General features: G+C 56.5%; 1 protein-coding gene and 2 long non-coding RNA genes across 5 annotated transcripts in view, besides 15 other annotated features; 2 read left to right on the top strand and 1 right to left on the bottom strand.

The window, feature by feature from the left end:
• LOC124904772 (uncharacterized) lies at positions 2,605-5,540 on the bottom strand. Its single transcript, XR_007067348.1, has 2 exons — positions 5,218-5,540; positions 2,605-3,630 (listed from the first exon to the last, which is right to left on the bottom strand). It is a non-coding gene; the product is annotated as an uncharacterized LOC124904772 (long non-coding RNA).
• Positions 5,359-5,728: a silencer, noted in NCBI's record as "silent region_11068". NCBI's record gives its function as "represses an Ori minimal core promoter by ATAC-STARR-seq in GM12878 lymphoblastoid cells {active_cell/tissue: GM12878}" and the evidence as "EXISTENCE:reporter gene assay evidence [ECO:0000049][PMID:35858748]".
• Positions 5,359-6,088: a biological region, named in NCBI's record as "NANOG-H3K27ac-H3K4me1 hESC enhancer GRCh37_chr19:56632431-56633146".
• Positions 5,373-6,088: an enhancer, noted in NCBI's record as "NANOG-H3K27ac-H3K4me1 hESC enhancer chr19:56632431-56633146 (GRCh37/hg19 assembly coordinates)". NCBI's record gives its function as "activates a minimal SCP1, AML or CMV promoter by ChIP-STARR-seq in naive H9 embryonic stem cells {active_cell/tissue: H9 hESC(naive)}" and the evidence as "EXISTENCE:reporter gene assay evidence [ECO:0000049][PMID:30033119]".
• Positions 5,819-5,938: a silencer, noted in NCBI's record as "silent region_11067". NCBI's record gives its function as "represses an Ori minimal core promoter by ATAC-STARR-seq in GM12878 lymphoblastoid cells {active_cell/tissue: GM12878}" and the evidence as "EXISTENCE:reporter gene assay evidence [ECO:0000049][PMID:35858748]".
• ZNF787 (zinc finger protein 787) overlaps positions 5,855-21,874 on the top strand; it is a 33,930-nt gene continuing 17,910 nt past the window's right edge. For 2 of the 3 annotated variants that reach the window (NM_001002836.4, NM_001351682.2), the window contains exon 1: positions 5,855-5,978. The gene's annotated coding sequence lies outside the window, so the exon portion shown is untranslated. Of the gene's footprint in view, positions 5,979-14,704; positions 14,785-21,874 lie in introns of those variants that run through there. The other variant, XM_047438164.1, reaches the window with a different exon arrangement.
• Positions 5,949-6,028: a silencer, noted in NCBI's record as "silent region_11066". NCBI's record gives its function as "represses an Ori minimal core promoter by ATAC-STARR-seq in GM12878 lymphoblastoid cells {active_cell/tissue: GM12878}" and the evidence as "EXISTENCE:reporter gene assay evidence [ECO:0000049][PMID:35858748]".
• Positions 6,319-6,638: a silencer, noted in NCBI's record as "silent region_11065". NCBI's record gives its function as "represses an Ori minimal core promoter by ATAC-STARR-seq in GM12878 lymphoblastoid cells {active_cell/tissue: GM12878}" and the evidence as "EXISTENCE:reporter gene assay evidence [ECO:0000049][PMID:35858748]".
• Positions 6,319-6,810: a biological region, named in NCBI's record as "Sharpr-MPRA regulatory region 1998".
• Positions 6,516-6,810: an enhancer, noted in NCBI's record as "tiled region #1998; K562 Activating DNase unmatched - State 1:Tss, and HepG2 Activating DNase matched - State 1:Tss". NCBI's record gives its function as "activates a minimal TATA promoter and a strong SV40 promoter by Sharpr-MPRA in K562 cells, with weaker activation in HepG2 cells {active_cell/tissue: HepG2 | K562}" and the evidence as "EXISTENCE:reporter gene assay evidence [ECO:0000049][PMID:27701403]".
• Positions 6,719-6,768: a silencer, noted in NCBI's record as "silent region_11064". NCBI's record gives its function as "represses an Ori minimal core promoter by ATAC-STARR-seq in GM12878 lymphoblastoid cells {active_cell/tissue: GM12878}" and the evidence as "EXISTENCE:reporter gene assay evidence [ECO:0000049][PMID:35858748]".
• Positions 8,955-9,670: an enhancer, noted in NCBI's record as "H3K4me1 hESC enhancer chr19:56628849-56629564 (GRCh37/hg19 assembly coordinates)". NCBI's record gives its function as "activates a minimal SCP1, AML or CMV promoter by ChIP-STARR-seq in primed H9 embryonic stem cells {active_cell/tissue: H9 hESC(primed)}" and the evidence as "EXISTENCE:reporter gene assay evidence [ECO:0000049][PMID:30033119]".
• Positions 9,046-9,215: an enhancer, noted in NCBI's record as "experimental_51832 CRE fragment used in MPRA reporter constructs". NCBI's record gives its function as "activates a minimal promoter by MPRAs in K562 erythroleukemia cells, with activity observed for the non-introgressed 19:56629389 variant allele {active_cell/tissue: K562}" and the evidence as "EXISTENCE:reporter gene assay evidence [ECO:0000049][PMID:34662402]".
• Positions 11,076-11,752: an enhancer, noted in NCBI's record as "H3K4me1 hESC enhancer chr19:56626767-56627443 (GRCh37/hg19 assembly coordinates)". NCBI's record gives its function as "activates a minimal SCP1, AML or CMV promoter by ChIP-STARR-seq in naive H9 embryonic stem cells {active_cell/tissue: H9 hESC(naive)}" and the evidence as "EXISTENCE:reporter gene assay evidence [ECO:0000049][PMID:30033119]".
• Positions 11,787-13,330, top strand: LOC124904773 (uncharacterized). Its single transcript, XR_007067349.1, has 2 exons — positions 11,787-12,587; positions 12,746-13,330. It is a non-coding gene; the product is annotated as an uncharacterized LOC124904773 (long non-coding RNA).
• Positions 13,675-13,784: an enhancer, noted in NCBI's record as "active region_15113". NCBI's record gives its function as "activates an Ori minimal core promoter by ATAC-STARR-seq in GM12878 lymphoblastoid cells {active_cell/tissue: GM12878}" and the evidence as "EXISTENCE:reporter gene assay evidence [ECO:0000049][PMID:35858748]".
• Positions 15,145-15,822: an enhancer, noted in NCBI's record as "H3K27ac-H3K4me1 hESC enhancer chr19:56622697-56623374 (GRCh37/hg19 assembly coordinates)". NCBI's record gives its function as "activates a minimal SCP1, AML or CMV promoter by ChIP-STARR-seq in naive H9 embryonic stem cells {active_cell/tissue: H9 hESC(naive)}" and the evidence as "EXISTENCE:reporter gene assay evidence [ECO:0000049][PMID:30033119]".
• Positions 16,442-16,511: an enhancer, noted in NCBI's record as "active region_15112". NCBI's record gives its function as "activates an Ori minimal core promoter by ATAC-STARR-seq in GM12878 lymphoblastoid cells {active_cell/tissue: GM12878}" and the evidence as "EXISTENCE:reporter gene assay evidence [ECO:0000049][PMID:35858748]".

Raw genomic sequence — 21,874 nt, 5'->3', positions numbered from 1 at the left:
CCAGAGCCCCACTCAGCCCGTCTCTGTCCCATCGGTGTGCATGGGGCACAGGCCGGAATGGTTGGTCTGAGGCAGGGTCGCTCTGCTTCCTCAAAGCCCCTCCCTCTGCGCCCCAGCTGCAGCAGCTGGCACACGGAGGAGATGTGCAAATCTAGGAAGATGGGTGAAGAACGTTATAGGAGGCGGCCACAGGGTTCTCCACATAGGTTTGCCATATTTAGCAAATTAAAATGCAGGATGCATTTAAAATGCAATGTTCAGTTGCATTTATTTCAAATAAACAACGGATGTATATATACATCCTATATATATAGATTGGATAAGTACTGGGACTTTTTTTTTTTTAATTATTTTTTTGAGACAGAGACTTGCTCTGTATCCCAGGCTGGAGTGCAGATCTCGGCTCATTGCAACCTCCTCCTCCTGGGTTCAAGCAATTCTCCTGCCTCAGCCTCCCGAGTAGCTGGGATTACAGGCCTGGGCCATCACACGTAGCTAATTTTTGTATTTTTAGGAGAGACAGGGTTTCACTGTGTTGGCCAGGCTAGTCTCGAACTCCTGACCTCAGGTGATCTGCCCACCTCGGACTCCCAAAGTGCTGGGATTACGGGAATAAGCCACCGTGCCCAGACGGTATTGGGAAATTTTTACACTAAAAAATTACTCATCTTTGATTTGGAGTTCACATTTAACTGGGCATCCTGGAGTCTGCCTGGCATCAATACTTCTCAGACTTTCCCATGGCTAAGAATCCCTTGAGGATTGGGTTAAAATGCAGATTCTGACTCTGTAGGTTTGGAGTAGGGCCTGGGATTCTACATTTCTCATGGGTCTGTGGGTGCTGTCAATGCTGCCTGCCGGGGCCTAACTGTGTCTGGGAGTAGAGATGAAGATTGAGCATGTTCACCTAAGCAAAGCACCCAGGAGTGTGTCCGGTACATGATGAAAACTCAAGAAGTGTTTGTTAATTATCACTGTAAGGAGGATCATTTGAAAAGTGTGATTGTGTGCGTTTCTCTGTGTATCAAGGACTTCGAAGCAATTGTACTTCAACAGCTGCAAACTCTCCCTCTCCAATCTGCCAGCTGCAGCTGTTCCTGTCACTCGGCCTAGGGCCACACCCTCAGGAGAAAACCGTGAGGAGGTTATAAAGGGCTCCCCAGCAGGAGCTGCCGCCCGTGCCTCTGCACTGGGGACCTCTGACCTTCCATATCACTACAGAGATGTGTGGCTATTCCGGTCGTCCACCACTCATTCCACGTAGATGGAGGCTTGCGATGCCCAGAGTGCTGGGGGGAGACTTGGGGCTCTTTTGGTTACAAGTGGCAGGAACCCAAAACAGGGCTTTCCTGGAAGAAGTCTAGACTCATTCACTCAAGGGAAGGAAGAGTGGAACGTCCAGCCCTCAGGAAGGTTAGGCAGAGTAGAAGCACCTGAACCTATGGCCTAGGCACTCAACTCAGCTGGGACATTGTCTCCCTCCAACTCTCACCTCTCTGTGAGGCTTCATTTTCTCCTCCTGCAGACTGGCTTCCTCCACACGGTGGGAAGCAAGACTGCCTTGAGCTTTCCAGCCTCTCACATCCCGGCATCTATGCCAGAGAGGGACTCTCCAAAGAGAAGGATCCAGAGAAAGCCACTGATGGGCCAACTTGGGTGAAATGATGCTGTTATAGCCATTTGCAATTCTCTCCGTACTCACCATTGCCCCCTAACCCCAATTTTATTCAGACTCGAGGCTGTAAATTCCATCTAGATGCTGATGCACCCCTGAAAGGGAGCTTTACCATTTTTACTGCCTGGCATCTGAAAACTCTGTATTAGGGAAGGGTGAAGCTGCTGTAATAAAGAAACGCACACATTGTAATGGCACATCACGTTAGAAGGGTACTTTTTCCTCTAAACACATTTCAAATTGTAGCTATATATAACATAAAATTTAACGTCTTAACTATTTTTGTGTGTGTCTGGGAGGGACGGAGTTTCACTCTTGTTGCCCAGGCTGGAGTGCAGTGGCCTGATCTCGGCTCACTGCAAACTCTGCGTTCCGAGTTCAAGCGATTCTCCTGCCTCAGCCTCCCGAGTAGCTGGGATTACAGGCATGCACCACCACGCCCGGCTAATTTTTGTATTTTTAGTAGAAACAGGGTTTCACCATGTTGGCCAGACTGGTCTTGACCTACTGACCTCAGCCAGGAGGCCTTGGCCTCCCAAAGTGCAGGGATTACAGGCATGAGCTACCTCGCCTGGCTACGTCTTAACTATTTGTAACTGTGCAGTTCAGTAGTGTTAAACCTATTGACGTCTTGTGCACCCATCACCCCCATCCATTTCCAGAACTCTTTTCATCTTGCAAAACCGAAACTCTGTCTCCAATAAACACTAACACCCCATTCCCCTCCCCCCAGCCCCTGGCACCCCCCATTCTACTTCCTGTCTCTATGAATTTGACTTCTCTAGGTCCCTCATATAAGTGGAATCATAAAGTATGTGTTCTTGTGTGACTGGCTTGCTTCTCTTAGCATAATGTCCTCAAGGTTCATCCATGTTGTAGCCTGTGTCAGAATTTTCTCTCTTTTTAAGGCTAAAAAATATTCCATTGTATTTATTTATTTATTTTTATTTTTTGAGACGGAGTCTGGCTCTGTTTACCAGGCTGCAGTGCAGTGGCATGATCTTGGCTCAATGCAGCCTGCGCCTCTGGGTTCAAGTGATTCTCCTGCCTCAGCCTCCCAAGTAGCTGGGACTACAGGCGCCCGCCACCACGCCTGGCTAATTTTTTGTATTTTTAGTAGAGACAGGGTTTCACTATGTTGGCCAGGCTGGTTTCAAACTCTTGACCTCAGGTGATTCGCCCGCCTTGGCCTCCCAAAGTGCTGGGATTACAGATGTGAGCCACCGCGTCTGGTCTATTCCATTGCATTTATGTGCCACATTTTGTTTATTCGCTCATCTGTCAATGGACACTGGGTTGCTTCCACCTCTTGGCTATTGTGAATAATGCTGCTATGAGCATTGGGTGTACAAGTTAGATGTGTATTTCTTGATCATGTAGCAATCTAGGATAGATGTTAGGTGACAGGATGTATTTCCACAAGGTGGTCATTCAGGGACCCAGGTTTCTTGGGGCTCCCCTCTTTCTTTAGGGCCTTGAAAGAGCAGGAAGCAGGCAGATGTTTCTTTTTTTTTTTTGAGATGGAGTCTCACTCTTTTGCCCATACTGAAGTGCAGTGGTGGGATCTCGGCTCACTGCAACCTTTGCCTCCTAGGTTCAAGCAATTCTCCTGCCTCAGCCTCCGGAGTAGCTGGGATTATAAGCGCCCACCACGCCTGGCTAATTTTTGTACTTTTAGTAGAGATGGAGTTTCGCCATGTTGGCCAGGCTGGTCTCGAACTCCTGGACTCAGCTGATCCTCCCGTCTCGGCCTCCCAAAGTGCTGTGATTATAGGCGTGAGCCACCGTGCCTGGCCAACATACATGTTTCTTAAGAGCATTGGCTCGGAAGAGGCCTGTATCGCTTCCATCCCATCCCATTGGTGAGAACCAATCACAAGGCCACACTTAGATGCCAAGAGGAGTGGAAAACAGAATCCATCGATGGGAAGCAGCATCCCAAGAGTGATTTTGTACTGCGGAAGGGAAGAACAGATGTTAATTGTCAATTAAGCCATGTCGGCTGCAACCCATCCCATGTTTGGGAAACATCCTGGTATTGGTTGGGTTGCCTTAAGGGAGAGACTCAGAATTACCAATGGTTTCAGTGAGTTAGAAAGTGATTTCTCTCACATAAAATCTCAGCTGGCACGGAGCCTCTTTCACGAAGCCATCCAGTGTCTAGCTGGCTCCCTGTGTCTTGTTTCTCCTCCATCCTCAGTGTTGGCTTCCATCTGGTGTGCCAATGAGCTGTTCTCGATCTTGCCGTTGTCAATTTGACCAGCGAAGAAGGGGAATGGGCTGGAGAGGGAGGAGGCTGTCCCTCCCAACAACCAGGTCACTGCAGGACACCCACTGAATGATCTGATTCAGAGGAGCACAAGCACATGACTTTTCTTATAAACAGGTTTCCTCGTGTAGAGTTTGTACCCTAATAATTTGTTTCTATTGCTGTTATGATAGCACTTCACTCTCTTTTTTTTTTTTTTTTTTTTGAGACGGAGTCCCATTCCATCGCCCAGGCAAGAGTGCAGTGGTGCGATCTCAGCTCACTGCAACCTCTGCCTCCCAGGTTCAAGCCATTCTCCTGCCTCAGCCTCCCGAGTAGCTGGGATTACAGGTGTCCGCCACCACGCCCAGCTAATTTTTGTATTTTTAATAGATATGGGGTTTCACTATGTTGGCCAGGGTAGTCTCGAATTCCTGACCTCCTGACGTCTGCCTCTGCCTCCCAAAGTGTTGAGATTTACAGGTGTCAGCCACTGCACCCGGCCACACTTCCTTCTGTTCTAAGATATATTTAAAAATTTACCTTTGTGATATTTCTGAAGGAGGGACACAGATATCCTCCTATTGACACACACAGTTAACACAGCACTGTTCACCCCACCCCATGGAAAGATGTTATTAAATCAATAATATACATCTTATGATTGATGCTCACTGAGCTTTGAGGGTATACAGTGGCCACAACAATAGACTTATATGTAACACTGCTAATAGGTAATAATAACCACCATCATTTTTGTGAACTTACTATGGGCCAGGTATTGAACTAAGCAGCTCTTACACATATTACCTTGCAGGTTATCTTATTTTTTCCCATTCCACAGATGAGAAATTGAGGCTGAGAAAGGTGTTATTCCACCAGTGAATTATAGCTTCTTATCTTTTCTGACTACCAGTGAGGATGATAACAATTATAAGCGATAAGTCATCTGCCACTTAGGTGAGAGTCAGCCAAGTACAGAACAGAGGAAGGACCAGAAGGACCAGCCTACAAGGACACTATGGTTTGGACAATTATTTTAAAATATGTGTTTTTTGCAAGAATACCAACAGTAACAGCTAACACCCAGTGCGTCCTTACTAGGTGCCTACCTAACGCGGGGGAAGTAGTGGATTCTCAGGGCTATGACACGAGGCAGTGTGTACAGTCAAGGGTTAAATACACGAATTTAGAGCCAAACTCCATGGGTTCGGGCCGAGGCTCTGGCATTCCGGGTGTGTGACTTTTGGTAGGTGATTTGACTCCTCACCTGCAACATAGGGATAGGACCTACCATGAGGCCCTAGTTAGGACTAGGACCTAGTGCGTGTGAAGCACTTGGAGGCGCACAATGTATTTTCATCACTTCAGAAAGGAGGAAACTGAGGCCATGGCACCTGAAGCGCAGCACTCTCTGTCCAGTAACTAAGGAACCCGGGGTCTCTGTCCAGTAACTAAGGCACCTGGACTCGGGCCACTGGGAGGTGCAGCGGCAGAGAAGGGGTTACCATGATAGAGACGGTAGGAGGACCCGGGGTGGCACGAGCGTCCCTCTCCACCACTTCACTCTCCTCACGGCGGGCCCGGGGACCCGGCCGCGCAGGCGCGAGGAGCCCGGGTTGTCGGGGGGGCACCGCCCTAGACACCCGGAAGTCTCCGCCTAACGGGCCCAGCCCGCACCTCCTGTCCGGGAAGGGGGCGGGGCCGAAGCCCCTCGGCGCGGGGCGCCATAGAGCATGGACGGAGGACCTGCGTCCTAGACACTTCCGGAAGTGGCTCCCTCAGGCGCCCGCCGGGCACCACAGAGCTGGGGGCGGTGGCCGGGATAGCGGGCTCGCCTTCCTAGAGCGGCGAGGACAGGGTGGCGGCCCGGGGGGCAGGGAGTAGGGAGAAGGGGGGGAGCGGCGCGGGCGGAAGCGGCCGGGAAGGTCACTTCCGGCCTGGGCGCCCGTCCCCCTGACCCCAGGGTCTGAGTCGCCGCTGCCGCCGCTGCCACCATCCGCGAGGCAGGAGAGAGGAGGAGGAGTGCGGCGCGGCGGCCCCGGGACCAAGGAGGTGAGGGGTGGGGGCGGGGGCCGTGCGCTGGGGGCCAGGTGGGCGCGCGCTTCGGGAAGCTGGGCTTGGGCTGGGGGTGGGTGGGGAGACTGGAGGGCGAGCGCGACTGGGCGGCGGGCGCGCGTGCGCGCTGCTGGGGGGGCGTGAGTGGGCGCGCGGCCGGGGTGACGCGGGCGGGGGGAGTGCGCGTGCGCGCCGAAGAGCTGTGGGAGGGGACGCGCGCCCGGGCGGCCCGCGGGCGGCGAGCGGGGCTGGAGGGGGGGTGCGCGTGCGCGGGTCCGGGTCCAGGGCGCGCGCGTGCGCGTGGCGGGGGCAGGAGCGGGGGCCTCGGTGGGGGTCCCTCTGCTGCGGGCCGTCGGGGGTGGGGCCGCTGTCCGTCCCCCCGAAGTTCCAACTCCGCCGGTCGTGGCCGGAAGTGGTGGCGACTTCGGGGGGAAGTTGAGGCCCAGGTGGGGGAAGGGGCCGCGCGGTTGGGCTGGCCTGGCCGGATACCGCGGCCCCGAGGGCACGGTCTCAGCCCTCGGCCCCCCCAGCCCTTCCTTCCCCTTTTCGAGTCAGCCCGGGTCCCGTTGCTGCCCCGGGCGGGCTGCGCGTGGCCTTTGATCAGGCGGGTAATTACGGGGATTCTGGCCGGCAGGAGGCCCATTCATTCGTCCTTGCTCGGCAGGCGGGGAGGAAGCGCGTCCCCAGCGGGGGAAGTGACTGGGCCAAGGTCAGCCACCGCGTGGCCCACGGGGCAGGGCGAAGGCGGGGACTGGATCGGGTGGCGACTCCTGAGGCCTCCCTCCCCTGTGCCGAGTGGATCAGAGTGGAGCCCCGCCCTCCTGACACCCCACCCCGACCCCCAGTCCAGGGAGCTGACCCCAATTCATGTGGATGAGTGCTCTGGGACCTGCAGAGTCGCACAGAAAAGTGACCCACAGACACAGAAGGCAGGAGTGAGTGGAGGCAGAAGTTTTTCCAGTGCCAGGCCCTGTGCCGGGCACTAGAGACAGGGAGCAGGGAGATGAACAAGGGCTTGGAGTCTGGGTGGAAGGCAGAGACTGAGACCCGGGCGACAGAGTCGCCATCCAAGGTGACCAGACCCCTGATGGAGAGGTCTGGGGGCTGTGGGAGCCAGGGAAGGCATTTTGACCCAGCCCAGTCCGGGGGATGGTCAGGGCTTTAGGGAAGGAATGGCTTGGTCTGCTCTTTGCGGTGTCCTGCTCCCAGGTCCCATGTTGCGCAGTGCTTAGAACCCATCTGGGGATCCGATTGACCCCAGCGCCGGGAAGCACAGTTGCGTTGATCCTGGCTTAGCTCCTCTGAAGACCGTAAGCCTCTTTGGCTAAACGCTGCTGACATTCACCTGCCTGCCTCTGCGCAGTCCCTGTGGTCCTCCGGCCACGCACGGCCTCAGAGAACATCCAGATCAGATTCCTGCTTGCTTATCTCATGTCTTATCCATCCATCCGGGCACCCGGCCTGGCCCCTCCCTGGTGCACTGCCAGAGTGTGTGCAGGCACTGGGTTGTATTCCCCAAGAGCTCTGGGACTGGGCAGGCCTGGGTTCAAGTCCCAGCCCCACCACTCACCTTCGTGGCCTTAGACGAGTAACTTCAGTGCCTTACTTTCCACCAGGACAGAGTGGGAGTGGTAATAATAGTATTGACCTCAGCGGGAAGGCTCTTAATGCTTTCATTTTAGAGCCAGAGCAGACCTCAACAGATGGGTGTAAAGTAAATGGAAAGGGCTCTGGAGCCAGGCCCTTTCCTGGGCCTTGGCCTTGGCACTGTCTCTTCCACTTCTGTGACCTTGGACATGTCACTTCCCTTTTCCCAGGTTCAATTTCCCTTCAGTTGTCTAAAAACGAGAGCAAGTTCACAATTCCCTGAGTAAATGTAATCCATCCAGGCGGCTGCACAGGCCAGGCCCTGTGCTGGGCATGAGGTCACACATGGTCTTGGCACAGCACTGTCCTGTGAGGGCCCAGATGAGGTGCCTGGCCCAGCCTGGGTGAAGAGAGGGATCTCAAGGCCCTTCTGTGCAAGCACAAGGTAGAGTGGTGCTCCGTGCTGGGCAGCCTGGCAGGAATCATACAGTCCCTGTCCCAGAGCAGCTGAGACCCATTCACACTGGGCAGAGGGGTGGGGAGATTTGCCAGAGTGCTCCCGGGAGCTCTGACCTTGAGGGAGGGGTGTGTGGTGCAGGGGAGGTATTGTGTCTTGAAAGATAGAGAGGAAGGATTGGCTACCAGGAACCTGGTACTTAAGGGAGGATGACAGTGGGCTCTGGGCAGGGAATGGCAGGGGTCACAGCTCAAGGCCACCAGCAACTGCCTGGCTGCCCTGGGAGGTCTTTTGTTACTAGGCATACACAGCTCTCAGGACACCCATCCTCAGACATGTTTCACAGGCCTTTCCAAACCTCGTTCGTGTGTCCTCTGGTGCATCCTGAGGCCTCCAGCCTAGTGAGGACTGTGCCAGGTGCTGGGGCCTCTGTGGTGTGAGAAACTGCAGATTCGACAACACTTGCTGGTGCACACTTTGCAGGAACCTGGCCCAGTGCCTGGTCCTCACTGTCCTAAATTCTCAAGGCTCTGGGATGGAGGTGGTCACCTCCATTTTAGGGGTATGGGATGGAGGCTCTGGATGGCACTTGTTAGCCCAAGGCCCCCAGCAGCTTCAGAACCTGTGTCTACTGCGATTCCAGAGCCCAGACCCTTGACCATCACAACCGCCCCCTTCCGCCCCCAGGTTGGGGTCTAGGGGGACAAAGGCTGTTCCGAAGTCCTCTAGGTGTTAGTCATTGGCTTGGAGACGCTGGACTCCCTGCCTAGTGGGGTGTACTGTCCACGAGGACTCCTACACGCAGGGCTGCTGGCTGGTTCAGGGGAACCCCAGCATAGTGGGAGAAGCACAAGTGGCTCGGAAGTTGAGTGCTGAGATCCATGCAACCCCCAAGGAGGCCTCACTCACCCAGCATCAGGGAGAGCAAGGCAGGTGTGGAGTTCGAGCAGTCACACCTCCAGTGTCAGTGGCCCTGTCCCAGGAGCCCAGAGCTGTCACCTTACAGCTGCAGAGAAACCAGCCCAAGCTCTGAGCCCAGGTGGGGCGGCCCCAGGCCTGTCTGTTCCTGCAAGGGACCTGGCAACTTGAGGCTGTTTTTCGTGACGTTTTCCTGGTTCCGTCTCTGCCGTGGCCTGAGCCTTCTCCCTTTGGGCTCACAGAGTGTGGACGTCTCTCTTGTGCTAAATGGGGGTCCCATCTGGCCCCCCTGTTTCGAGGCCTTGCAGTGGATAGTGTTGGGACCCAGAGATGCATCAGAAGTGGTCCTTGCCTCAGCCCAGGGTCCAGCCAGTCAGAGCCATGGATTCCTGAGGCTGCTGTGTGCAGGGTCTTTGCTGGAAATAGCCCCGCCCTCAAGTGCACAGTCTGCTGGATGCACTGTGGGACTGATGGGGACCTATAGTAGGTGTCGCAGAGGTGAATAAGACACGGAGTAAGACACAGATCCCCCTGCGGGACACAGGACCATCCTCAATGGTGGACGTTAAAGGGGACAAATGCCGTTGTCCAAGAGTTAGAAGGAAGCAAGCTGTCTTTGGCAGCTGGCCGACTCAGGTGTGGCTCCAGCCTCCTACGTTGTGGCTCTGTGACATTGCTCCAGCCACTCCGCTAGTGGAAGCCTCGCTGTGGCTGTGTGAGATTGTACTAGCCACTCCGCTTGTGGAAGCCTCGCTGTGGCTGTGTGAGATTGTACTAGCCACTCCGCTTGTGGAAGCCTCGCTGTGGCTCTGTGAGGTTGTACTAGCCACTCCGCTTGTGGAAGCCTCGCTGTGGCTCTGTGAGGTTGTACTAGCCACTCTGCTTGTGGAAGCCTCGCTGTGGCTCTGTGAGATTGTACTAGCCACTCCGCTTTTGAAAGCCTCGCTGTGGCTCTGTGATACTGTACTAGCCACTCTGCTTGTGGAAGCCTCAGTTTCCTTGTCTATACAACAAGGACCACAGTGATAGGCTGTGTTTACTGGGCATCTCCACGGCTTTTGGGTGAGCACTTGACACACATCTCATTTAATCAGGAGGGACGGGTAGCCCAAGCACCTTGCCCAGGTCATGTGGCTGGTTCCTGGGGGGCCAGATCCCACCCTGCCCTGCCCAGAACGGCTGTCCTCTTGTCCCTGTGCTGGCCTCATGGCCTCGCACTGTCTCCCACTGATTGTGGGGCCCAGGATCAGAGCTTATGTGCTTAGGGCACCCTGCACCCAGGACCTGGGATTTAATCCGTGCTTGATGAGTGTGATCTTTTGTCGCTGGATAAGAGAGGATAGAGCTGAGGGAAGGGAGCAGTCTGGGAAAGCTTCCTGGGGGAGGTGCTGTTGATGCTGAGCCGTGGCAGATGGGCTAAGCAGATGTATACTGAGAGGGCAGGTGAGGTGGGAGGAAGGGACTGTGCAAAGGCCCCGGGGGAGAATCCACACCATCTGGAAAATGGCCAGCCTGCCCTGTTGGCCCAGCAGAGGGGTCACAGAATGTAAGGTGGTCCGCAGGTGTGGTTTTGTGTGTGTGTGTGTCTTTTTTTTTAATATAAAGGCTTTATTTTTAGTGTTTTATTTCATATATGTATATATTTTAAGAGATAGGATTTTGCTGTGTTGCCCAGGCTGGTCTCAAACTCCTGGGCTTAATTGATCCTGCCTCCTCAGCCACCTGAGTGGTGACCAGGGGCTTTATTTATTTATTTATTTATTTTGAGACAGAATCTCACTCCGTCGCCCAGGCTGGAGTGCAGTGGCGTGATCTTGGCTCACTGCAAGCTCCGCCTCCTGGGTTTATGCCATTCTCCTGCCTCAGCCTCCCCGGTAGCTGGGACTACAGGCGCCCGCCACCATGCCTGGCTAATTTTTTGTATTTTTTAGTAGAGATGGGGTTTCACCGTGTTAGCCAGGATGGTCTCGATCTCCTGACCCTGTGATCCGCCCACCTCGGCCTCCCAGAGTGCTGGGATTACAGGTGTGAGCCACCGCGCCCAGCCAGGGGCTTTATTTTTTTTTAGAGCAGTTTTAGGTTCGCAACAAAATTGAGAGGAAGATGCACAGATTTCCCATATCCGCCTGCACCCTCCCCCGACACAGCCCCCGCACTGTCAACTCCCACTCCAGGGCAGCGCGTTTTGTGACAATGTATGAACCTACACGGACACCTGATGATCACCCAGAGTCCATAGTGTACTTTGTAGGTGTGTGGGGCTTTTGGCCTCAAGACTGTTTTGTCTTTTAAACAATTCTCAGTTACTCGGCTGCCCTAAGACCCGGAAGCCTTCGCATAAGGATCTGAAGATCTGCAGGCACCAAGTCCTGCGGGCTGTGCCCCGCTGTCTCCACAACACACTGCACCCTGACAGTAGATGAAGTCCCTCTCTCTCGCCCTCTCGGAAAGTAGTTGAGTGTGGTGGCTGGGGCCGTGAGCTGTCTCTGCCGTCGCTGTGCTGATGCCCCCGAGGAAGACGGCTCTGACGGGGAGGGTGTGGGTGGTGCGGGTGGGAGGCATGCGGGAAACCTTTGGGAGGCTGCTGCGCGAGTCCAGGTGTGAAGTGGCTGGAAAAGAATAGAGCAGCGACCATCCTGGCTAACATGGTGAATCCCCGTCTCTACTGAAAATACAAAAAGTTAGCCGGGCGTGGTGGTGGGCGCCTGTAGTCCCAGCTACTCGGGAGGCTGAGGCAGGAGAATGGCGTGAACCCGGGAGGCGGAGCTTGCAGTGAGCCGAGATCGCGCCACTGCACTCCAGCCTGGGCGACAGAGCAAGACTCCGTCTCAAAAAAAAAAAAAAAAAAAAAAGCAGCGAAATCAACGTGCCGCGGCCGGCCTCTAGAGAGGGAGAGGGGCCAGAGCACGGGACAACGGCTTCCCTCTGCGTCCTGAACCCCGCCAGAGGGACGTGCAGGCTGTGCTCTAGGAGAATGTGATCTGCCAAAACCGGCTCAGACGAGAGGGAAGGTCTACGCAGACCAGTCACTGTAGAATGAACAGGAAAGGGTGTGTAGAGCTTTCCCCACCACCCTCAGGGAGGGCAGGCCTGGGATCTCCGTGGTGTCACAGAGATGTCCCGGGGCTGAGGAAATGAGGGCCCCATGCAAGATGCCAGGTAGATGTCACCCCACCTAGCCTGCAGATCCAGGCGGAGGTGCAGGAGGGAACAAGAATGAGGTTTTCAGGCCAGGAGTGAGGGAGCGAAGTGGCCACAGAAAAGGGCAGTGAAAGAGCTGGTGGGGGAGTGGAGGGGTGGCGCTGTGGGCTTCTTGAGCTGGGAGCAGAGCGGGAAGGTGAGCAGGAGAGGGCTCTGCGGCGGGGCCGGGCAGCAGTGTTGGTTCCGGAAGCAGCCATGGGTACCAGGGCAGCAGGTGCTGGACACCCCTGGCACCTGCCCTCAGGGAGCATTGTGCCCAGGAGCAGATGCAGAGTCCCAGGAAGGAAATACCAATAGAAGTGATATCACCACGCTCGTGACATGGTGACAGAAGGTGCTGACCAGCCAGGAAGTCAGCCCTGCCATGGGAAAGGTGGGGTGTGGGCCTCAGGGAGAAGCTGACATTTGAGTAGACCCTTGAAAGGTGAGACTGAGCCAGGCAGGTGGAGGACTGAGCCCGGCCCCTCAGAGAGAGAGACCAGGCCTGGCCGGGGCAGGTGGAGGAATGAGCCCGGCCCCTCAGAGAGAAAGACCAGGCCTGGCCGGGGCAAGTGGAGGACTGAGCCCGGCCCCTCAGAGAGACCAGGCCTGGCCAGGGCAGGTGGAGGACTGAGCCCGGCCCCTCAGAGAGAGAGACCAGGCCTGGCCGGGGCAAGTGGAGGACTGAGCCCGGCCCCTCAGAGAGAAAGACCAGGCCTGGCCGGGGCAAGTGGAGGAGTGGGGCCGGTCCTTAAGGGTGAAAGACCGGGCCTGGCCAGGACTGAGCCTGTCGGTGCATCAGGAGCAGTGCACTGCACAGCGAGATCCGGGCCAGCTGGAAGGGAGGGGGTTTGCAGAGGTGCCGGAGCCAGATGGAACCCTGTGGTGCCTGGGGAGGAACTTGGATTTTGGATTGAGGGGCAGCCGGCACGTGCAGTGGCAGCAGTTTGGGCAAGGAGGTGATGAACTGAGTTGCTTTTTGTTGAGAACAGTTTTATTATGATATGATTCCCATAGTGTACAATTTGCCCTTTTAAAGTACACAGTTCAGCGCTTGTAGTCCCAGCTACTCGGGAGGCAGAGGCAGGAGAATCCCTTGAACCCGGGAGGCGAAGGTTGCAGTGAGCCGAGATGGTGCGATTGCCCTCCAGCCTGGGCGAGAAAGCGAGACTCTGTTTCAATAAATAAATAAATAATATACAGTTCAGTAAGGTTTTTAGTGTATTCACTGATTTACGCAGCCATCACCACAGTCGATTTTAGAACCTGTTCTTCATCCCAAAAGAAACGCCGTGCATCTTCAGCAGTCCCTCCCTCCCTGCCTCCCTGCCTCCCTGCGTCCCGGTTCCTGGGAAGTGCTGATCTGCTTTCTTTCCCGGGGTGTGCCTCTTGTGGGCAGGCGCATAAATAGAATCGTGCTGTTCTGCATCGGGCTTGTTTTACCAAGCGTGCCGTGTTCGAGGGTCATCCCTGTCACAGCTGAACTTCACACCTGGTTATGGTCGTGTTCCATTACGGTCATGGATGGACCACAGTTAGTTCATCCATATGGACATTTGGGTTGTCTCTACATTTCGGCTGTTATGCCTGATGCTTCTGTGAACATTCGTGTGCAGATTTTTGCGTGGACGGACGCATGTTTTCTCTCGGGTCTATACTAAGGAGTGGAATTGCGGGTTCTTATGGGAGTTCTGGGCTTAACCTTTTGAGGAACTAACTGCCAGGTGTTTCCTATGGCGCCCGCACCAGCAATGGGGGTCTCCCCACTTCTCCTGGTCCTCACCAGCACTTGTTTTCTGAGGCTGGCAGTGGGTGTGAGGTGCTGCCTCCCTGTGGGTTTGGTCTGCCTCTCCCAGACGGCTCATGAGGACATCCTTGCATGTGCCTATCAGATATTTGTCTTTCTTTGGAGGAATGCTTTCTCGGATCCTTTGCCCGGGTTCTAATTGGGTTGTTTGAACTGAGTGACTTCAGGAAGATGAGTTGGTGTGTGGTGTGAGGAGGGCACTTCCAAGAGGCAGGGTGGGAGCCAGGATCGTGGTGGGAGGGAGCGAAAGCCCCAAGGGAAGGGGAATGGGGAGAAGAGAGTGAGGGTGGGAGGGAGGAAAGGGCCAGAGCCCTCCGTGCTGGAGGGGGTGGGGTGGGGGGAACGGCTGGTCTGGGCACCCCAGAGCTCCTCCCCCGCCCCACAAAGGCAGGGCCACATGGGGTGCATGGTGGCTCCAAAGAGGTTGTGGAGTCAGGCTGAGAAGGAGCCACAGGATTTGGTGAAAAGTCAGAGAGGGTGTTAGCCCAGTGGTTGGAGGATGACTTGGGGGGAAGGAAGGGAGGTGGCTGCTCCAGGCTGCAAGTAGAGGGGAAGGAATAAGAGACTGGGGGGAGGAAGAAAGCAGGTGGGTGCCAGAGAAGTTTCTGGGCAGGGAGGGCCACGGAGGGCCAGGAGGAGTTGCTTCCGAGAGTGCGGGGGGAGGAGGAGGTGAGATTGGCAGCAGAAGAAAGGGGATAATTGGCAGGCAGGCCTCCAGAGGGGTGGGCGGGACTTAATAACAACAATAATAACAATCATTTGTGCTAATTGGATCTCTCAAGGGCTGGGGCGAGGGGAACGCACCCCTGCCCGTGCTCCAGGTGCTTCCTCTCTGCAGCGGAGGTCAGAGCCAGGTGAGTAAGCACCTGCAGAGGCTGGGAGAGCCTGAGACCCCGACTGAGAAACGGAGGCTGGTAAGGGAGGCCGGGACCCTCGTTTCAGAAGATGTGCAATTCCCAGCTTTCTGGTAGATTCCTTGAATAGCCCAGGGTTTTCTTGAGAGCAAGTGGGGGGCCTTCTCCTAGGGAGCTGGCCTGGACCCTGAGAGCTGGGTCAGGAGCTGCCTCAGGCCCCCGCAGCTCCTGGTGCCCCCGCCTCTCCCATCGTTCACCTCTGCGGGTGAGGGTCCCATGCCCCCGCCATGAGGTCCTGGGGGTAGGGCCTGATGGATTAGGACACAGGCTTCAGCAGGGGCTGAGAGCATGCCTGGAGGGACGGGAGAAGAAGAGAACTGGGGAGCATTGAATGAACACCCGTCTTAACCCTGGTGAGTCCTCAGAAGCCTCCACTCAGTCCCCACACAGCTCAGCAAGGCACCTGCCCTTCCCGTCCCTGCTTTGCAGAGGAGGCAGCTGAGGCTCAGCCATTTCCGCGGGTGGCAGAGCCGGTGATGACGCCAAGGACTGGTACCGCGGCTGCCCGTTGCTCACAGGGGCACAGTGCTGTCACCCAGGCTGGTTGTTTCACATCTCCCTGGTAGGTGTCGGCCCCTCCCTCTTCTCGGAGAGGAAGTTGGGATGCAGAGCAGTGTGGGCCCTGTCCCAGGTCGCCACGGTGCGGAGTTCCTTCCCGCCTCCCTCTTAGAAGAGCGACCAGACCCTGAGCTCTGGCCCCTCACCCCTTACCCCTCCTCTGCTGCCCCCGGCCCCTCTGGCTATGGAATTTGTGGACCCTTATGCTAAAAGGCAGGAAAAAAGCATCTTCCTTTCCTGGAGGTCTCTGGGTCGGCCAGGGTGTTTTGTGTTTGGCATTTCACCCACGGGTGGGTGCAGAGACCCCCAAGCCCAGGCTAGGAGCCCCCAGCACCAAGCCCTTGTGCCCTTGGACCCCACTTACAAAATATGGGTCAAAGGTGAAGTGACCAGGAATTCCAGGGCAGCAGCTGCTGAGCACGGAGCCCCAGGCTGGGCCTCCCTCCCAGCTGCCCAGGCCTTGCCCCAGGTCCCTGCCTGCCCCTCCCTCCTGGCGCCATTCCAGGTGCTCAGCCCCTCTGCTGTGCCTCCTTGGCCTGGCTGTGGCCTGGAAAGTGTGCACCCCAAACGCCGGCACCCTCATTCCTTTATTTACATCAGGGTCAGCAGACTCTCTGCAGTGGGCCACATAGTAAACATTTTAGGCTTTAGGAACAAGAGGGGAAATCAAGGCTACTTTTCATGTAGGTATATGGCTGTCTATTGAAAACATGTAAAAGGTATTAGTATCTGGGGGGCAGTTTGAGGCCCAGCGCTCCCCGCCCGGGGTCAGCCCCTCCACCTCTATAGGCTGCCTCACTACCCCCCTACCCAGCTATAACCACAGCAGGAATCATGCCTTGTGCCTAGCTGGGCAGTGCAGGCCTCCTGGCTCGCGGCAGATCCCTGCTGAGTGAGAGGTGATCTCTGCTGGCCTCTGGGCAGGCTGCTGTGCGGTGGAGAGGAGGGGTGTGGAGGGTGGACTCTCCCGCCTCCCCCATCCATAGCCTGGTCAAGGCCTTCACCCTGCAGGAAGCTGGCCGGAGGTGGAGGCCAGGGGAAGGCTCTGAGCTGGGAAGTCCCTGCTTTTATTGAGTTATGTGATAGAGTTTCACTGGAAGTACATTATCACCACTTGGCAAACAGGTTTCAGCCAAGAAGAGGAGGTGAGGAGCAGCCCCCACCACCTCCTCAGCCCCAAGTTGCAAACTGCTCTCTTCCCTTTTTTTCCTGTGCTTTTTTTTTTTTTAACCTTTCCTACAGTGCTGAGTCTTACGCATTTTTAATGTCTAGGGTGTTGTAATTAGAAAGCCTGTACAATTTTTAAAAGTTTGTTTACTTTCTAATAGAGGTGCAATTAATGTATTACAACATTTCGTTTTTCTTTTTCTTTCTTTTTTTTTTTTTGAGACGGAGTCTCGCTCTGTTGCCCAGGCTGGAGTGCAGTGGCGTGTGATCTCAGCTCACTGCAACCTCTGCCTCCGGGGTTCAAGCGATTCTCCTGCCTCAGCGTCCCCAGTAGCTGGGACTACAGGCACGAGCCACCATGCCTGGCTAAGTTTTGTATTATTAGTAGAGACAAGATTTCACCATATTGGCCGGGCTGGTCTTGAATTTCTGACCTCGTGATCCGCCTGCCTTGGCCTCCCAAAGTGTTGGGATTACAGGCGTGAGCCACCGTGCCCGGCCAACATTTGCTTTTTTAAAATGTACAATTCACTGGTTTTTAATATATTCACAAAGTTGTGTAATCATCACCACTATGTAATTCCTGAACATTAGGCTGCGTGCAGTGGCTTCCCTCCTTGGGTCTCTGGCAGAGTCTGAGAATTAGGTTGACATAGAATAACAGGAGAAAAGCTTACGAATGTTATTTTATTTTTTTGAGACGGAGTCTCACTTTGTCGCCCAGGCTGGAGTGCAGTGGCGTGATCTCGGCTCACTGCAAGCTCCGCCTCCCGGGTTCACGCCATTCTCCTGCCTCAGCCTCCCGAGTAGCTGGGACTACAGGCGCCCGCCACCACTCCCGGCTAATTTTTGTATTTTTAGTAGAGATGGGGTTTCACTGTGTTAGCCAGGATGGTCTCGATCTCGTGATCCACCCGCCTCGGCCTCCCAGTGTGCTGGGATTACAGGTGTGAGCCGCTGCGCACGGCCACAAATGTTATTTTTACAGGTACATGGGAGACTTCAGAAAGTGAAGGCCTCCTGAAGCAGTTAGACCTGAGGGCTTCTATGCCCAAGAATAGCAACTGTGAAAAAGTAACTAAAATCCTTGGGGAGGCTGAGGGAGATAAGGGTTGGTGTGTGCAGCTGTCTCTCAGCCTCAGCTCCCGGTGCTGGTGATGAGCACGTCCTCTTCCTCTACGAGGAGGGCGTGTTTCACGTGGGGTTTCATCTGCTTGCAGGAAGAAAGGGGAGGCTAGAGCACCCTTCTCGCATCTGCTGCTGCCCCCGTGCCTTTGGGGCTGCACTGGGGTGGCCTGTTCTGTGCCGTCGCCTTCACTGCTGGCCCCCAGCACCCAGCCATCTACCAGTTCCGATACGTAGCCCCAGCCGCTGTCCAAGACACCCCTTTAGGCTTTTTCCCTTAATACAGACGTAATTACCTGTTATTAAAATATTAGGAAAATGAACATAAGAAAAACGTTGAGATCACTCTCACTCTTGATGTTGGGCGTGGGAGGGGTGCCAGCCGTCATTCCTTGGCCGGCTCCCTTGCTCCCGTGGAGGAGGGGTGACTCCACCCACCTCCCCGGCGTGGGTCTCTTGAGTTCCTCCCGGTTTCCCCATTCGGAACCTCACTGTGATGGAGGCTGTCTCTGCAAGAAGCATTTCCTGAGATTTGGGCTTTCCTGTCGGTAGCCTCTGGAGAGGTAGAGCTAGCCTGGTCGGGCTGCAAGCATGTTCATGGCAGTTTAGCCTGAACTCTTCCATCCGAGGCACCCAGAGCCCACGGGGGTCTGTCCGAGGGGAGGTCTGCCTGTCCTTCCGCGTGGGTCTCACCTCTTCCTGAGACAGGTCCGGCGAGGGGCTGAGTGTTGGGATTTGCTGTGTCTGGTCTTAAGCCTGTGCTTTGTCCAGACCTACCTGTTTGTGTGCTCACCCAGCTGTGCCTGGCGCTGCCCTGGGTGCTAGGGACCACATGGGTGTCAGAGCGGGCCCTGACATGACAGGGTGCCGGGAGGACAGGCCAGCTAAGCAGAGACACGGAGAGTGGCAGAGTAGCAGGCGTTAGGAAGAGAAAGGCAGGCAGGTGGAGCAAGTGGGGACCCTGAGGAGGTGGCCCTCACCTGGAGTCCAGAGGAGGCAGCTGGGAGGACTGGAGGAGAGCTCTGGGCAGGGGCAGGGTGGAGGGAGCTGGGGAGCTCTGGGCAGGGGTTGGGTGGAGGGAGCCAGGGAGTGCTGGGCAGGGGCGGGGTGGAGGGAGCCGGGGAGCTCTGGGCAGGGGCTGGGTGGTGGGAGCTGGGAGTTCTGGGCAGGGGCGGGGTGGAGGGAGCCAGGGAGTGCTGGGCAGGGGCGAGGTGGAGGGAGCACTGGGCAGGGGCTGGGTGGAGAGAGCGGGGAGCGGCGCCTCCTGGCAGGGCTGCCTTCAGTGCCTCCCGCTTCTGGAGCTGAGAGAGTCTCCTGGGAGTCTCTGTGGCTCTGTGCCTGGCACAGACACTGCTCCTGGCTGCTGCCGCCAGTGCTGCCCTTCACGTGTTGCAGGGGACCCGAGGGTCTCGCCCTGCCGGCCTCATGTTCCACATCCATAAGACAAGCGTCAGAACAGTGCCCACCTCTAAGGGTCCCCTGCGCTTCAGGTGACTCGCAGTCCTCCCGGCAGGTACTGCCCCACACACCTGCAGCCCCTCCCGCAGCCCCCAGCATGCCCGGCCTTCAAGCTCTCTCTTCCGCAGCCCCCAGCATGCCCGGCCTTCGAGCGGCCTCTCCCGCAGCCCCCAGCATGCCCGGCCTTCAAGCTGCTGCCTGTCCCCTCCCCTCCACGCTGCCCATCCAGGGAATGCTCCTGTGGTGCCTTCTTTCTGAGGGCCCACCCCAGCCTCCCCAACAGAGCTGCCCGTCACTTTCTCCCCCTAGACCCCCCTCCCTTTTCTGCCCCTAGGCCCCCCTCCCCGTGTGCTTCCTTCCTGCTGTCTGTGAGCCTTGGGGGCAGGACCTCGGCCCTCCTGGTGACCCTCTTTCTCCTGGTGACCCTTGTCCCTCCCTGTGACCCCGTGTCTCCTGGTGACTCGTTTCTCCCAGTGACCCCATTGTCTCACAGTGACCCCGTGTCTCCCGGTGACCCCGTGTCTCCCGGTGACCCTCGTTTCTCCCAGTGACCCTTATGTCTTCTGGTGACCCCATGTCTGCTGGTCCTCGCAGGTGCTCAGTAAATGAGGACCCTGGAGAGCGCGGCCTTCATGTTCCCACGTGGGATTTGAACACAGTTTCTGAGGCGAGCGTAGTGGTGGGTGGTACTGGGCATAGACTTGGGGCCTGATGGTCTGTGTGTGAACTGTTTCTGTACTCCTCCAGCCTTTCCCTTCTCCCCTTCCCCACGGAGAGACCTTGGGCCTCTGTTTCCTCATCTGCATAATGGGGACAGCAGTCAGACCTACCCAGAGGGCTATCATGGACCCCAATCTACTCACAGTTCGTCAGCCGTTTAGAGCAGTGCCTGGAACCGTGGGGTGGGGTGGCCAGGGGCTGCCCAGTGACCCACATGGCATATCTGTGCACATGAATTTATTTAAACAGGCACGTCCCGAGTTCTCCTCAGACTCTCAGGCCCTTCGTGAGGGCAGGTTGACAGCACCCTGCAGTGGGGCTGGCTCCGTTCTGTACCTGGATAGTGGTGAGCTTCTTGTCACTGGAGGGACTCGGGAAAATCGGTTCAGAGGGGTTGTGCCAAGGAGGTGTGTGGTGCTCAGGTGGAAGCCCCACTGTTCCGCGTGCTGGTCTGCAGACTTCCGCCTGGAATGAGGTGCTGGATGCCGCCGTTCCCACGTGCTGGTCTGCAGACCCCGGCCTGGAATGAGGTGCTGGATGCCGGAGGTTTCCTCAGAGCCGAGTGCATTCAGCCCAAGGGGGCCTCGCCTGGGTTTTCTCTTCCGGTGTTGAGGTTGTTGGGGAACGAGGTGGGGTGGCGCCGCTGTGTCTCACCAGGAGTCCTACCCACCTGGGGGTGAGGTCACACCAGGAACTGGGGCCAGACGGCCGGAGCATGGGCTTTGCTAATGGTTGGTCGAGGGTTGTGCCCGCCTCCACCTCAGTAGGCAACTCTGATAAGACACAGAATTGAAGACTCGCGGGCGGGCTGGGGCCTGCGCAGGCTTCTCCTTCCCAGAGAGATGAACGCGAACGTCCACAGAAATAAATGGATGGACGCGGCGTTGAAGCTGGAGTATACACAATGCCCGCTGTGGAAGCAGCTCACAGTTGTCCTCCAGCGATGGGTGGGTGCATGGACCACTGTGGCCGCCGTACAGTGGAGTGGGGTTCAGCCCGAGAGAGGAGCGACACGCTGGCACGCCGCAGCACCATGCTGTGTGGAAGAGTCAGACACGCAGGAACAGATGCTGTCCCTCTCCTGTGCAGAGCACACGGCAGCAAGTCCAGAGGGACGGAAAGGAGTTCAGAGGCTGCAGGGCGCGGCGGGGGAATGCGCGGTGACTGCCGTGGGCGCGGAAGGGGGAATGCGCGGTGACTGCCGTGGGCGCGGAGGGCGGAATGCGCGGTGACTGCCGTGGGCGCGGAGGGGGGAATGCGGAATGCGCGGTGACTGCCGTGGGCGCGGAGGGGGGAATGCGCGGTGACTGCCGTGGGCGCGGAGGGGGGAATGCGCGGTGACTGCCGTGGGCGCGGAGGGCGGAATGCGCGGTGACTGCCGTGGGCGCGGCCGGGGGAATGCGCGGTGACTGCCGTGGGCGCGCGGGCTTTTTGGAGTTGTTGTAAAGTTGATTGTGGTGAGGGTCGCAAAACTGAATACACTAAATATCATTGCATCGTACACTTTACATGGGGGAATGTTGTGGTGAGGGGATCACATCTTAATGAAGCTGTTTTAATAAAGAAGTGTGGGCCCTGGGGTGTGAGCCCTGGAGCCCTGGCCCGGCAGTGGGAGGCTGTGCCTCCTCGGGCAGGTTTCTCGTGGCTCCTGCTGGAGGCTTCCCCCGAGAAGCTGGGTGGTTACAGCCCCTGCCTCCTGCAGGTGCCGGGGGATTCGGGGAGCCAAGCCCCAAATCTCTACCGTGGGAGGTAGGAGGTTTTTTTGTTCTAAGGCTAGTCAAGTGAAGCAGTTGGCATGGAGAAGGAACAAAGAGATCCGTAACTGGCAGTTAGTTGTAAACACCGCTGCACTCAGGCCGGCAGGACGTTTTTTTAAATTGCCCTTATTCGGCTGTCGAAGTTGGCAGCCCTGTGTCCTCCCCGTGGAGTTTCGCTGAGGCGCTCCTGGTTTATGAAACCCCAGCATGTGGAAAGCTGGGAGGGCACGTTTGCCACAGCTCCA

The sequence above is a fragment of the Homo sapiens genome, chromosome 19, assembly GCF_000001405.40.
Source record: "Homo sapiens chromosome 19, GRCh38.p14 Primary Assembly".
NCBI classification, from domain to species: domain Eukaryota; kingdom Metazoa; phylum Chordata; class Mammalia; order Primates; family Hominidae; genus Homo; species Homo sapiens.
Note: the sequence above shows the minus strand (reverse complement) of the source record. Positions and strands in the feature narration are given on the sequence as shown.